This window comes from Homo sapiens, chromosome 3, assembly GCF_000001405.40.
Source record: "Homo sapiens chromosome 3, GRCh38.p14 Primary Assembly".
Classification (NCBI taxonomy): domain Eukaryota; kingdom Metazoa; phylum Chordata; class Mammalia; order Primates; family Hominidae; genus Homo; species Homo sapiens.
In genome coordinates this window covers 9,226,081-9,240,764 of record NC_000003.12, presented here as the reverse complement: position 1 = coordinate 9,240,764, position 14,684 = coordinate 9,226,081, and the positions used below count along the sequence as shown (strand labels likewise).

General features: G+C 45.1%; 1 protein-coding gene across 10 annotated transcripts in view; it reads left to right on the top strand.

The window, feature by feature from the left end:
* Positions 1-14,684, top strand: part of SRGAP3 (SLIT-ROBO Rho GTPase activating protein 3) — a 382,437-nt gene that overhangs the window by 122,263 nt on the left and 245,490 nt on the right. The window contains exon 1 of one of the 10 annotated variants that reach the window (XM_011534296.3): positions 4,491-4,607. The exons of the other annotated variants lie outside the window; for them this stretch is intronic. Within the exon in view, the coding sequence (XP_011532598.1) occupies positions 4,598-4,607 (10 nt within the window). The 5' untranslated portion in view covers positions 4,491-4,597. Of the gene's footprint in view, positions 1-4,490; positions 4,608-14,684 lie in introns of those variants that run through there. 10 annotated transcript variants of the gene reach the window in all.

Below are 14,684 nucleotides of genomic sequence, written 5' to 3'. Positions count from 1 at the left end.
GGAAATACGGAACCAGAAATTTTAGGTGTCTTCTAGTCCAACTCTATTTGTTTTTCAGATGTGGAAATTGATGATTGGAGAGGGGCTGTGGCTTTCAGATTACTTTTAGACTGTCTCTCCATGACGGTGGAAGGTTTATCTGCTTGGTTCATTGCTGTAGCGTAGTGCCCACCATCTAGTTGGTGATCAATACATATTACTGAGTTGAATTGTTCTGGTGTGTGATGGTTGCCTGGGGAGGCAGAGCTGAGTAGTACCTTGGAAAGAAAGATGAGGCAAGGGTGTCTAGCCGGGTAAGGATTGGTGAGGTCAGGAGGGGGTGAGTTTGGGCTGCCTCCTGAAATTGAGTCCTTTCCTTCACAGCTATTAGGAAGGGACGGGGTTGACTTTTTAAAGGTGCTGAGCTTGAGAACTTCTGGCTTAATACAGGGCCCAGGAAGCTGTCTTGGGCTTGATTTCACTTGGAAAATATTCATTCCTGATGGCTTGTTGGTGTTCATAAAACATCTTGGCTGGCAAATAATGGCACTTTAACTCTATTCCCTCAGTTTGTTGAATCATTATGCTAGTTTATGTTTGGGATAATGTTCCCTAAGAGTATTCCTTTAAATTGGTTGTAAAGAGGTGTTGGGTGAAAAAAAAGTAGTTGTGTGCTCTAATAGATTTTGGAAGTTCTAGAATAAACAGTGTGAAATAGGCCTGCTTCCCCCAGGACTTCTGGGAATCTTGCTTGTGTTAAGTGTGAATCGCTCAGTAGGGCCCATGGAGTTTCCTCAAACTTACTTGATTGTGTAGATATTTTTCATGGACTGGGTCACAAGACTCTGTTTTCTGAGTTACATTTTAGAATATGTCAGGCTGCACAATTCATGGATCATCTGGGTGCTTTTTCTTTTTGCCTCTGGCTCAGTTCCCTAATGTTTTATACTTGTCTCAGAGAGCAGTTTGAAGAGGGAAAGAAGTAAAACAAATGCACATCTAGTTGAGCTGAGTGATATCAATGTAGTGCTTTGAGTTCACCTAGGAAATGTGGATTTTGACATTTCCAATTACAGAGTGCTCAACCATTGATTTAAATGGTAATTTGGAAACAGTGCAGCCCTAATCAATATGCATTGCGTGTGCCCATCTGTGCGTGATGGTAATGGGGTGCACACTGCTGCAGCAGAGTGTTCCAGGTTCCTTGAATGGACCTGGCTCTTCCCCCTGGGATTGCATAGCCAGTGCTAGGTGATAATGGCACAGATGAACACAGAGAAGCCCATGTTCCCTTGTGCCTCAGAGTGAACAAATCTCAGCTACAAACCCAGGTGCACAAGAAATATATTTTTCTTTCTTTCTTGGTGACTCAGTCTCCATTTCACATCTCTATCTTTTGTTTTTTTGAGACAGAGTCTTGCTCTGTTGCCCAGACTGGAATGCAGTGGTGCAACCTTGGCTCACTGCAACCTATGCCTGTTGGATTTAAGTGATTCTTCTGCCTCAGCCTCCCAAGTAGCTGGGATTACAGGTGCCAGCCACTACGTCCAGCTAATTTTTGTATTTTTAGTAGAGACAGGGTATCACCATGTTGGCCAGGCTGGTTTAGAACTCCTGACCTCAAGTGATCCTCCCACCTTGGCCTCCCAAAATGCTGGGATTATAGGTGTGAGCCACTGCGGCCGGCCTCACATCTTTATTCTGCTGGGGGTGACAGAAATAAGTATAAGTCAATTTGGGGTTTCCCTCCAGGGTTGTGCTCCAAGATCCAGGGGGACTTAGGCAGCACCAAGGCCCTTGTGAGGACATCTGTTGTGGTTTATCATCAATCTACTTTGGCAGCTACTGGGACATCCTCTTTCTTATTGAGTCTTTGGTGGTTGGTCTGTGTCAGCAATCCTTCTTTGTTCCTCATGTGTCCCCCTCTCCTTGGTTCCTTCCATGCAATTTGCTGGCACCAGAGGCGATTCTGCTGCTCACACACCACACTGGGCCATGAGGGACCCTGGATATTTGCCTCAGGCCTGTCTTGGCCACACTCAACACTTGCTTCTCCCCTGGTGCCTCCCTAGGGCTCTGCCTGGGGAAGGGATCCGGCTTCTCTCCACTCTTAGATTCTGTGAATCTGTTTGGTGGTTGCCTCATCATCTCCCTCCCCGGGCTTGTTCGGGATGAGTTGGGCAGGGTGCAGATTTTTTTCTTATAGATCCCTGTACCTACATATACTTTGCTTTACTGATTTACTCTCCACTTTGGTCTAGGAAATCTTTACCCATATGCTCGTGTGGTGGGGCGGGGAACAAGGGTGGTATCCTGGCTTTGTCATCAGACATTCTGTCAAAGCTGTTTTCCATAAATCTCACGTTCTTTCTCTCCTCCCTAAGGACTTTTGAAAAAATGCCAAGAATTGACTCTTTTTCTGCATTATCCCTGAGGCAATGAACACAGAATGCCCTCCCTGACTGAGGAGGGACCAAGGGGGTCAAGAAAATTTGGAGAAAAGCATTCAATATTTCAAAGTATTAACTACAGTGAATTTCCTTCCTTCTCCATCTCCTCCATCCTGGCCTAGCCTGCCATTACCTCTTGCTGGGACCAGTGCAACCCAAAGTTTCTCAGGGTCTCCTGACTCAGAGCTTCTCACCCACAGTTGGCATTTTGGGCTGGATCATTTGTGGTTGAAGGTGCTGTTCTGTATAACATAGGATGTTTAGCAGCATTCCTGACCTGTACCCACTAGATGCCAGTAGCATCCCTGCTCCCAGTTGTGACAATCAAAAATGTCTCCAGACATAGCCAAATGTCCCCTGGGGACAAAATCACTCCTAGTTGAGAACCACAGTTCTAAGCGGTCTCCCTGCTTCTTTTCTTGTCCCATAGTCTACTCTCCCCACAGCAGCCAGCAGTAATCTGTACACCATTTAAATCTGGCCATGTCACTTCCCTGTTTAAAACCCTTCAGTAGCATCTCATTGCATGAGACTAGAATCCAAGCCCCTCAACTGCACTTAGAAAGCCACGCTGTGCTCACCTCTTTCCCTCCCCTGGTCACTCTCCCCTTGTCATTCTATCCAGTCATGCTGGCCTGTACTGGTTTCTGGACTTCTCCAAGCTTGTACTTGCTTTGGGCCTTTGCACTTAGATTTTCCATCTTTCTGGAATGCTCTTGCCCTGGATTGCCACTTGATTGGCTCCTTCTTGGTATTCTGCTTTGAGGTTGCATGCCACCTGCAGACTAACCCATCTTAAGTAGCCGAACAGCAACTCTCTATTGGATCAGCTGACCTGAATTCTTAGCAGAGCACTAAAAGCTATATGATATTTTTCACGCTTTCTTTGTTTCTTCTCTTCACCAGGACTGAAACTCAATAAGAGCTTTGATTTCTCTTGTTCATTAGTGTTTTTTGGCACCTAGAACACAGTGTAGGATGTTTAGCAGCATTCCTGACCTGTACTCACTAGATGCCAGTAGCATCCCCGCTCCCAGTTGTGACAATCAAAAATGTCTCCAGACATAGCCAAATGTCCCCTGGGGGCAATGGGTGTTCTAGGTGCCAATGGTCACAATTTTTGTTGAACGAATGAATGATTATAGGTGTTCTTGTGATGGACTTTGCATACAAGAACACATAGATATTACGTTTTGGGGTGCATACTGAAGCAGATCCAGTCTTTCCCCAAACCCTGATTGAGACGTAATGCAGGAAGATGAAAAATCCAGAGATGGGATAATTGTATCCATGCAGAGCCACCCAATGGATGACTTAGAAGGAAGTGAAGTGAACAGGTGGCCGATTGCAGGAATACTGCAGGGAATCTGGCATATATTCTATTAATTGAGTTCCTAGTATGTGTCTGAGATGGGGACACAAAAATAGTTTCATAGTTTTATGAAACTTAAGTCTTATCAAAGATAAGAATGGGAACTATATTTCACCAATTTTTGCATCCCCATCTCAGACACATAGTTCTATGAAAAGACAGTGTTAATCTCTTCTTTCACTGCTATAAAGAAACACCTGAGACTGGGTACTTTATAAAGAAAAGAGGTTTAATTGGCTCACAGTTCCACAGGCTGTACGGGAAGCATGATGCTGACATCTACTTGGGTTCTGGGGAGACCTCAGGATACTTACAATCATGGCAGAAGGTGAAGGGGAAGCAGGCACATCTTACATGGCAGGAGTAGGAAGAAGAGGGGGGGGGAAGTGCCACACACTTTTAAACAACCAGATCTCCTGAGAACTCACTCACCATCATGAGAACAGCACCAAAGTGATGGTGCTAAACCATTCATGAAGGATCCATCCCCCTGATCCAATCACCTCCCACCAGCCCCCACCTCCAACACTGGGGATTACAATTTGACATGAGATTTGGGCGGGGACACAACCAAACTATCAGACCGTTATAAAAATAGGTTAATAAATTATGACACAGTGTAGTAAGTACTGGGACAGTGGTAGAACCAGGCACTGTGGAAACTTACAATGAAGTTTCAACTTTACCAGGGAGAGCTGGAGAAACTCTTATAGAAGAAGGATCTTTTAAGCAGGATTTTGAAGGATGAATAGAAGCTCTCCAGGTGGTGAAAGGCATTACCTGAAGAGAAGACAGCATGTGCAAAGGTATGGGGGTCACAAAAGGGTCAGGGTACTTGAGAAATGGTGAGGAGTTTGAGGTGGCTAAAATCCTGAGTAGGTGGAACAAAATGGTGGTGGGAGATGAGGCTGGAAAGGAGAAGAGCTTGAAGTTCCTGTCTGATCATCAGATCCTGTAAGTCTTTGACCTTGAAGATGGTATGGATGAGAGTCGTATTTATTTGTTGTGGTAAAATACACAAACACAAAGTTTACCGTCTTACCCATTTTTAATTGTGCAGCTTAGTGGTATTAAATGCATTCACATTAAATGCCACCCATCTTCATAACTTTTTTCATCTTGTGAAATGCAACTCTGTACCCATTAAACAATAGCTCCTTGGCCGGGCGCGGTGGCTCGTGCTTGTAATCCCAGCACTTTGGGAGGCTGAGGCGGGCAGATCACGGGGTCAGGAGATCGAGACCATCCTGGCTAACACGGTGAAACACTGTCTCTACTGAAAATACAAAAAAATTAGCCAGCTGCAGTGGCGGGCGCCTGTAGTCCCAGCTAATCGGGAGGCTGAGGCAGGAGAATGGCGTGAATCCGGCAGGTGGAGCTTGCAGTGAGCCGAGATCATGCCACTGCACTCCAGCCTGGGTGACAGAGCGAGACTCCATCTCAAAAAAAAAAAAAAAAAAGAAAAAGAAAAAAAATAGCTACTCGTTTCCTCCTCGTTCCCAACCCCTGGCAGCCACCATGCTACTCTTTGTGTGAATTTGACTCCTTTAAGGAAAATATAAGAATCTAGAAGCCCCTACCTGAAATAACCACTATAAACATTCAATGTATTTCCTTCCAGACTTCACGTCTCTATCAATCACATTTGTTTTATATCTGTGTATAATAAAAATGGGATCATAGATCTTTAAGGCAGAGTTATAAAAATAAAGCTGATAGGAAAATAATCATAGGCCTATAGGCTGAGGACTTGAAATAGAGTATGGCCTAAAAATAAACAGTTTGTCAAGTAAGAACATCAATATGCGTGACCTCCTACGTCCGTTTTAATGGTCCTTTAGGGAGGGGACACCACTCTCTTGTGGCGCCTGGCTTGTGTTGGTCACTTCTGTCTCAGGTCTTTGTGATTTGGGTAAAACTGGGGGGAACTGAGCTAACTCATCAAGAACTTCCCTCACTGCCACATTTGTCCCAGCCACTTTCAGCTAGAATTTCCCCCTTCCCATCCCTGACAGTCTTATTTCCCTGTTGGTCCTAGGCAGCAGTTTCTGTCTTTGGCAGCAAGTGCTAAAGGGAGAGGCTTGTCTAGGGCAAAGGATTCATCTTCAGCAGCTGGAGACCCTCCCTGCTGGTACCTGTTCCCTGGTCTACCTTTCCTTTCCTCCTTGTTGCTCTCTGCTGGATTTCCTGGCCATTGTGATACTTTTTGGATTCCGGATTGCTTGTCTGCTCCTGGCAGATGTAGCCTGCCATCCCCTTGCTTCCGATTGCTGGTGAGAGCATTTTCAAAATACAGTTAATGTAGATCAGTAAGTTTTCCAACCATTTGTCAAATAGAAAGACCTGGATTTCTGTAGGCGGGTAGAGTTCTCGCTGAGAGATTCAAGCTTGGCAGGATGAGACAGTTCCTTAGGGGACCTTCTATAGCTTATAGTGCCTTAAGAGGGTCAGAGAAATGACATGAGAAGACTCTTACCAATGAAACATCTCAGCCACCTTCAGGGACACAAAAGAATGGATGTCATGTCTGTGATTTAATTTGTACTAAAGAATGTGAACTGGCCAAGCGACATGGCTGTTCTCCAACTCAGTGTCTCGGTAGGACACTTCCAAGCAGAGTTGGCAGTCACAATGTCTTTACTTTGATCAGTGGCCTCTCCAGACAGGATGTTTTGGGTCTCCCAAAGATCTATTACCTTGGGGAAACTGAGGCAGAACAACAGTCACTCTCTGGCTTCTGACGTCTTATAGTTGATTACTCCTTGACCTCTTGCTCCGATCTTCTGGACCCTTGATCATTTGCCTGGTTGTGGTTGTTTGAATTTATTTGTCCCGTGACCCTCAGCTAATCTAGGGCTCCATCCTTGGCCTGATCCTCCAGGTTCAGGCCCCACCCTGAGCATCTCTGTCTTGCTGGATCTCGTACTTGGCATAATATCACCATTGAAACTCTGCTCCAAAAATGGCAGAGGCTCTACTGCTGTCTGCCAGAAACATAGAATTATGTTACTGGGAATTGTGTGAAAGAAATGCTGAGAATGTGGTGGGCCAGTTCACATAGATTTAGCTTAACAAATATTTATTGAGCTCCTACTATGTTCCCTGCCCGCACAGACTTTATAATTCTGTGGGGAAGACAAAGGATAATTTGTAATTACAAAAGTGTTGAGTGTTATGGAAGGAGTGGTGCAGTGTGCATGGGGGAATCTATAGCAAATGGATCTAAAGGGCTGAAAATGCTGTGGGTGATTTACTGATACTGATTTGTAAAGCTGAGTTGTATTGACTAAGCTTACCTCACCATCATTGTTTCCTGAGCTCTTTAGGATCTAGACAGAACCATCTTTCCATTTAGAGAAGGGTCAGAAGTCATCAAAATATTTAAGGGGTCAGAAAGATCAGTGCTTCTAAGAGAAACACACAACTCCAGGTGTAAAAGATAAAAGTGGTTCCAGAAAGGGGATTTTATAATAGCTCTATTCAGGATGGTAAATACCATCGTGGGATGAGTGCTTTTAAGGTGAAATTAAAGCCAGGAATCAGCTGAAGAAGATTGAAACCCACCTTCTCTTGATAGAATTAAGCTAAAGTCACAGAGATAGATGAGACAAGAAAGTGGAATGTAACGTGGAAGGAGGCAGCTGTGATGCCCTGGGTGGAGTCACCCAGACCGGGGTTCAATCACGGCTCATGGTGAATCAGCTGAATGACCTTGGATGAAAGTCATTAACTTTTCTGAGTTCCAGTTTCCTCATGTGAAAGAGGGACATAATAACACCTCACTGTGTGTGTGGGTAATTAATTGAAATAACATAAGTCAGAATTTCCAGCACAGTGCTTGGCACACAGTAGCATTAATTAAACACTAGAAATGTCGGCTAAGCCAGTAAGTGGGGCACCAGCATTCAGAGTCCTGGACAGTGATTCTGAACCAACAGCTGAAGCCATTAGTAAGTGCACCTGGTTGGGAAGGAGAGTAAGGTGGGGCAGTACTAAAAGACATCAGGAGACGTGGAGTTGGCAGCATGGGTAGCTGGGAAAAGAAAATACTAGTAAGTTGTAGACAGGCATGACACTTTCTTTGCCTGTTATGTGTGTGTTTCTCCCAGTGTGGTTCCTGGACCACCTGCAGCAGAATCACCTTGGAGGAACTTGTAACAAATTCAAGGAACTTGAATTCTAGGAACCACCCCAGACCTACTGAATCAGAATCTCTGTTGGGGGGCAGTGGGTGGACCCTGGGAATCTGCATTTTACAAGTGCCTCAGATTTCATGAACTTAACATAATTGGCCCTGGTCTATAGTAAACTCACCAGTTTGGCTGTGTATCTTTTTTTTGAAAGCAAAAGAACATTTAATAATTAGGTAGACTATTGCTGAGTGAGGTGGGAAAAATAACACCCAAAGTGTGTGTGTGTATGTGTGTCTGTGTGTGTATGTATTACAGTTTTAAAAATAAAAACCCTATGTCCTTATATATTTAGATATGTATAAAAAGAGTCTTTGGTTTTTGACGATTGGTAATGAGGTTTACCCTTGGGGACGAGGGGTGGAATAGGGTGGTAGTGTCAGGGGACAGGGGAAAGAAGACCTTTTCATCTTTATACTGTTCAATTTTGATTGGCTTCTGAAAAAAATGAGCATGTATTCCTTTTCTGATTTAAAATTCCACGAAGTTGACAGTAAGTAAGGACTTTGTTGGCAAAATTCCTGCTAGAGAGGATGCTCAGACATCAGCTGAACTGTAAAAGAAAGAAAGTGACACCTGCAAGAGCTATTTAAATTATGCTGAACTTACTGTGGTGCTCATTATGTAGTGTAAGGATGATTGCTGAAATGAAACGTAATATTTTACCGAATTATTCCCCCACGCAGTGAGGAAGTTTTTCCATACTCTTTCAAAACTTTGAAATATGGGTAGAAGAGTGGAAAAGTTCAGCTTAACCTTTTAATTTACCGAGTTTCAGTCAGGAGCCATCGTGATGCAGTGGCCAGAGTCTGGGGTTTAGACTCATAAGACCCGATTTTCCATCTCTGGTCTGTCTTTTGAGCGAGTCACGTCTGCATTCTTCATTCTGCATCTTGGCTTCCTCATCTGTGAAATGAGGGCATTATCAACCTTAAAGGGTGGTTGCTGTGAGGATCAAATGAGGTGGTGTGTGAGAAAGTAAACTCTCGAGTGCTGCGGAAATGTTCATTATTTCTATTTTTTGTCCCACTCCTACCCTGGACATGCTGCTATTACAGTGGGGTTGTTTATGTGTCTGTCCCTCTGTGAGCTCATTGAGTGCAGAAGCCTTGTTTTATTCATTCCCGAATTCTTGTGCTTAGGGCCTGCCACACAGGAGGCATTCAAAGCAACTTCTGGAATAGCTATCAAGGAGAGAAAAATACACACACAGTTCGGTGTTGGCCTATAAAAATATTAAGATAGTCTTCCAGAAAACATTATCTTCCATTTCTATTTAAAGGAATTAAAAAACATTTATCCAAATCCACAACAGAAATTATATTGCTAGGAGAAAATAAAGAACTTCATTAAAGAAAATTTAATTGCCCAGTTTTCTAAAGAGACAGAACCGCATCCTTCCATCCTCATTACTGCCAAATGGGTGACGGCCGTTTCCAAGGGAGGCAAGATGAATGACAAGGGATTGTGAGAAGGCAAATCCTGATACTCTAGGAGAAAAGTCTCCCAAGAAACGGGAATGCCCCCCCAGATCACCAGTTACACTATTGTTTGTCAGAGCTGTGGAAGAAGCCTTCTCTGAGCTCCTTGGACAAAAGCCCTTTTTGGCTTCCACCCCAGACCTTGGCCGATAAACCACAAAGTCCCTATTTCCCCTGGAAGTGGGAAAACTTCCAGTGGCTCGACAAAGCTGGAAGGATTATCTGAGATTCAATTTGGGGGCTGTGGTACCTCCAAGACCCTGATAATTATCATCTGAATGGGCAGGGGGAGGATTGAAGCCAAATCTAGTAACAGAGCCCTGGGGTAGACCTGCAGTTAGAAGACAGGGGACCGATCTCAGCTTTGGCCCCTTTTCATGTCCTGCTACGAGTCTGCTCTTTTTTCTTTTCTTTTCTTTTCTTTTTTTTTTTTTTTGAGATAGGGTCTTACTCAGGCTGGAATGCAGTGGCGCCATCATAACTCACCGCAGCCTTGAACTGCTTAAGCAATCCTGCCTCAGACTCCTGCGTAGCTGGGACTATAGGTGCATGCCACCATGCCTGGCTAATTTTAAAAAAAAATTTTGTAGAGACAGCGTCTTGCTATTTTGCCCAGGCTATCTTAAACTCCTAGGCACAAGCGATCCTCCTGCCTTATCCTTCCAAAGTGCTGCGATTCCAGGCATGAGCCACTGTGCCTGCCCAAATCCATGCTTTCTTTTTCCCTCTCCCACACCAGTTCCCAAGCACAGACCAATCAGGTAGCACCATTAGATGAGTTCATAACTGTTTGAAGATGTGATTCTGGCATGGGGGTACGATTGTCATCCTAGGTGAAGTCTCCAGTGGCATGCCAAAAGGCTGTCTCCTGTTCAGTGTTTTAATTACCTGGATGAGGATGTGAGCATGCCCATCCAGTTTGAGAATGTCAGGAAACCAAGGAAGGCAGGCTTAGTAATTGGGAACACAGTTGTTGGTATTGAACTGACCAGGGTTTGCAACCTTTTAGCCACTTTCTAGCCGTGTGACTTTGGGCAAGTGTTTTCATCTCTTTGAGCCTCACTGTCATCATCTGTAATAATAATAATCCAACCTCAAACAGTTATTGAGCCAGTTAGATGAGATAATGTGTGTAAAACCCTTAGCACAGTGCCTGGCACTCAGTCAGCGTCACCGATTGTTATTAATAAATCACAACTGTAAGAGCCGCGCTGCAGGCTCTGGAGTCTGGGTTTAAATTCTAGTGCTGTCAGTGAATGAGTTGCTTAACTTCTCTGAGGCTCAGCTTCTTCCTCTGTAAAATAAGGACAGTAATACTTACCTTGGGAGTTGCTGTAAATAAAGCATTCAGGCCAGAATAGACACATAGCAGATACTCAATAAACCGAGGTTACCATTCAGAGAAACAGCGAATCCTGTGGCAGAGAGAACCAGGAAGCAGAGCGCTTAGCAGGAGGGGATGAGGAATTGACTCTAAAAATGCGAAGTTTAATAGTATCTTTAAGAGAAAAACCACCCACTCATTGAAAGAAGCTACATTGTTTTGGATCTTGAGCCCTGAGAAGAATTTATCCTATAAATAGATAGAAATATGAATGGGGTAGGGACCAACTGGCATTTGGTTAGGATGCCAGACCTCAGGCCCTGACCCCATCCTGTCCCTTGTCCAGTGGCTTTTGGCCCCTCCCCAAGAGATTCTAGCGAGATATGTGTGACACAGGCCGCTGGCTAGGAAATGAAATCTTATCTCAAAGCTGTGGCTGAACACAGAATTCTGGTGAGCTGTTCTCCACGTGGAGAACGCCTTTGGCCTAGGGAGGTTGCCATGCCGGCCTCTGTCCGGGCCCACACCTGAATCTCAGCTCTATTGCTCCAGGGTAGAGGAAGCTGATCTGGAGTGGGTCAGCCTTGGGGGACAGCTGGAGTATCTGACCCCTTTCCTATAGGGACCAGCTAGACGACTGCTCCTGCTTCTCTCCCAGATGTGACCAGGCCTACCTAGCCACAGAAAGAAGAATGTCAAAAGTCTGGACCCACCCAGACTGAACCTTTGAGCTTCTTAGAAGTGCAATGTCTGGGAATTTTGGTTCATGACTGTATCGTAGAACCTAGCTAGTCCATAATATCACCTTTCCTTCCAGTGGGTGGACTACTATGCCCTTAATAATAACCCTGATTTGGGGAGGAGTAAGTAGAGTTGACTTTTTTTTTTTTTTTTTTTTTTGAGACGGAGTCTCGCTCTGTCGCCCAGGCCGGACTGCGGACTGCAGTGGCGCAATCTCGGCTCACTGCAAGCTCCGCTTCCCGGGTTCACGCCATTCTCCTGCCTCAGCCTCCCGAGTAGCTGGGACTACAGGCGCCCGCCACCGCGCCCGGCTAATTTTTTGTATTTTTAGTAGAGACGGGGTTTCACCATGTTAGCCAGGATGGTCTCGATCTCCTGACCTCATGATCCACCCGCCTCGGCCTCCCAAAGTGCTGGGATTACAGGCGTGAGCCCACCGCGCCCGGCCTAGAGTTGACTTTTAGCTTGCTAGGTGTCAACATCACCCTCCTTCTTCTACCTTGTTGATCTTTCTTCTGTTGCCCCCAAGAACTTAGCAGCCAAACCTATGATCAACTTAGGATGTGGCTGTTAGCTGTCTCCTACTGCAGAAGAAATCAATGAAGTCCAGGCTGCATCCCCAGCACCCCTCCATAGGGTGCCTGCCGTGCATCCAGGAGCTGGCTAGTGTAACCCCCAAGGATTTAGGAAGGCCTCTCTGGCTTCCCTCCTCTTCTCTGGATGTTTGAAGCAGTTCAGGACTCAACAGGAGAAAAATTCAACTTACTTTTTTTTCTGGACCAACCCTGAGCACTAGGCAGGAAGTGGTCTGGCTGTGCATTTGCTAGCATTGGCCAGTGGTGCATTTACTTGAGATGCACAACAAAATTGGGCAACTTCATTTAAATATCTGCATTTCTGACTTTTTAAAAGCAAATTGCATGATCTGGCGGCACTGGGTGCCTGTTCTCATGCAGTAACCAATCAGCCAGAGCTGACTGGCGGCTGCCTTTTTTAGACAAGGTATGTGCTCTTGAGCCCCTACACCTCCCTATCCCAGAAGCTCTTGGGTCCCCACGACACCCTTCTCTTACACCTGCTGCTGCTTGTCATTGGCCTAACCTGCCTGGTTTCTACATGTGTTTGAGTTTGCCACCTTTGGATTAGGCCAAGAAGTTATGCTTTATTTTCTGTCTCAAACTATGATCATCAGATTGGGTTGTACAATGAGAATTGCATGACAGCATAACAAACCATTCTATGTCTGTGATGGAAAACTGCCTCCGACTTACCATCATCCTTTCAAACTTCACCATGGAGACTCCCTGTCATTACTTCCAGTAAAACCTTTGTCATCTCCTTAAGGATGAGTTTGAAGTTTTACTCAAGGGCAGGATACTCTCCCCCAACAAGAAGTGCTGCTGTATTTGTCTCTGACTGCCCCCCAACCCCTGAGGGGAATGAGGGAGGGGCATTCAGGTGCTAGAGGCCACTGAAGACCCAGTGATGCATTAGATGGTGTCCTTAGTCATTCCTATCGTAGCCACCGTAATGCATTTTTAGTAGTTAAAAACATCGCAATGTAATTTGATAATTTTAACACCAAAGCACAATTCACAAGAAGTAATTCTGCCCAAACAGTGTGGTCCAAGGACTCTGCATTGGACTGGGAAGCCAGACAGATCTAGGACTGAATCCCAACATTGTCACTTACTAATTGCTTGACCTTGGGCAAGGCATCTCCCCTCTCTATGCCTCAGTTTCTTCCTCTTTCAAATGGGCACCCATTGGACTCTTGCAAGGATTAAATGACATAACCCATGCTTACCCAATGTCTGGAATGTGGGCCACACTCAATAAGTGCGCTCTGTTATTACTCTTACCCAGATTTTGAGGGGTCGATTCAATCCAAGAGTGAAATTTACAACATTCATGGCAGAACGGATGGCTTGCAGGCAAAGTTAGACCCACTAGCATGTTTTGTTTGGCCTTTGCAGGATTTACAAAAATGAATTCATCATTTCCAACACTTAAAAATGAAGAGAGTTAAAAAAAATCAGGGGAGTTCATGTAAAAATCCAGACTTCTGGCAGCTCTTAGAAAATGGGAAGATCTAGGAACACTGGGCCCTCATTCTCAGAGGCAAAAATTGGCTGTTCCCTTCCAATGGGACAGGGGCTCGGACTTGTGCCAGTGCCCACCTGGCCCACTTTGCTCATTTCTGTTGCCTGCTTGGCTCCTGTGGGCAGGTGGGTTTTTTTGACCTGGAGGAATGGATCCACCTTGAGCCAATCCTCCATAAATATCATTTCCTGCAGACGGGGTTTGGAGAAGGTGAATAGCAGGTTGCATTTCCTGGCAGGTGCTCATGGTGCCATCTGTGTTATCGATGAAATGAAGAGCCATCAGCTTCAACAATTTGAGGGGCAGAGATGGGGTCATGGTCCTCTGAAAACAATCTGAGAAATTAACAGATTTGTAGCTGTGAATGGATGGCCATCTCATCACCCCATGTAGGTGGGCTGAAATTTAATGAGGAAAAAGTGTAAAGTCTTGCCCTTATGTCTGAAAACCAGTCTGTAGACTGGGGAGAGGTGTGCTTAGCAGCAGCACTTGTGAAAAAGACTTAAGGTTCTCGTTGACAGTGAGTTTTGCTGTGAGTCACTGTGAGGCAGTTGCCAAAAAACCTAATCTGATTCTGGGCTGCGTTTATAGAAGTCTAGTGTCTGGAAGACCTTTCTAACAATTAGAGCTGTCTTGAAGGAACAGGCAGGCAGTCTCCTAAGCCTTGATCTCCCAGGCGTAGGAGGTGCTCGAGGCTGGGTGATGAATCCCTGGAAGAGATTGTCAAGAGTGGGGATTTAGGCATCAGAGGGAGATTTGTTCTAGGTGACTTAGAAGGTCTCTGCCAATCTGAGATTTTCTGCTTTCTGCAGCCCAGTAGAGGAAAATAATTTCCATAACAAAAGTAAAACTCTTTCTGATAGAGGAAAGCAGGACTCCCTGAAGAGGCTCAAAATGGAAATGTAAACTTCCAGTTCTTACCAAGTAATGTGGGCAAAAGATATCACTGCCTCTACCCCACCCCTGACCCCCTGCCTTATTTCTCAGAGATAGGGGTCGGGGGTTGGGGTTGCGGGGCAGGATCTGCTCTGCACATTACTGGTA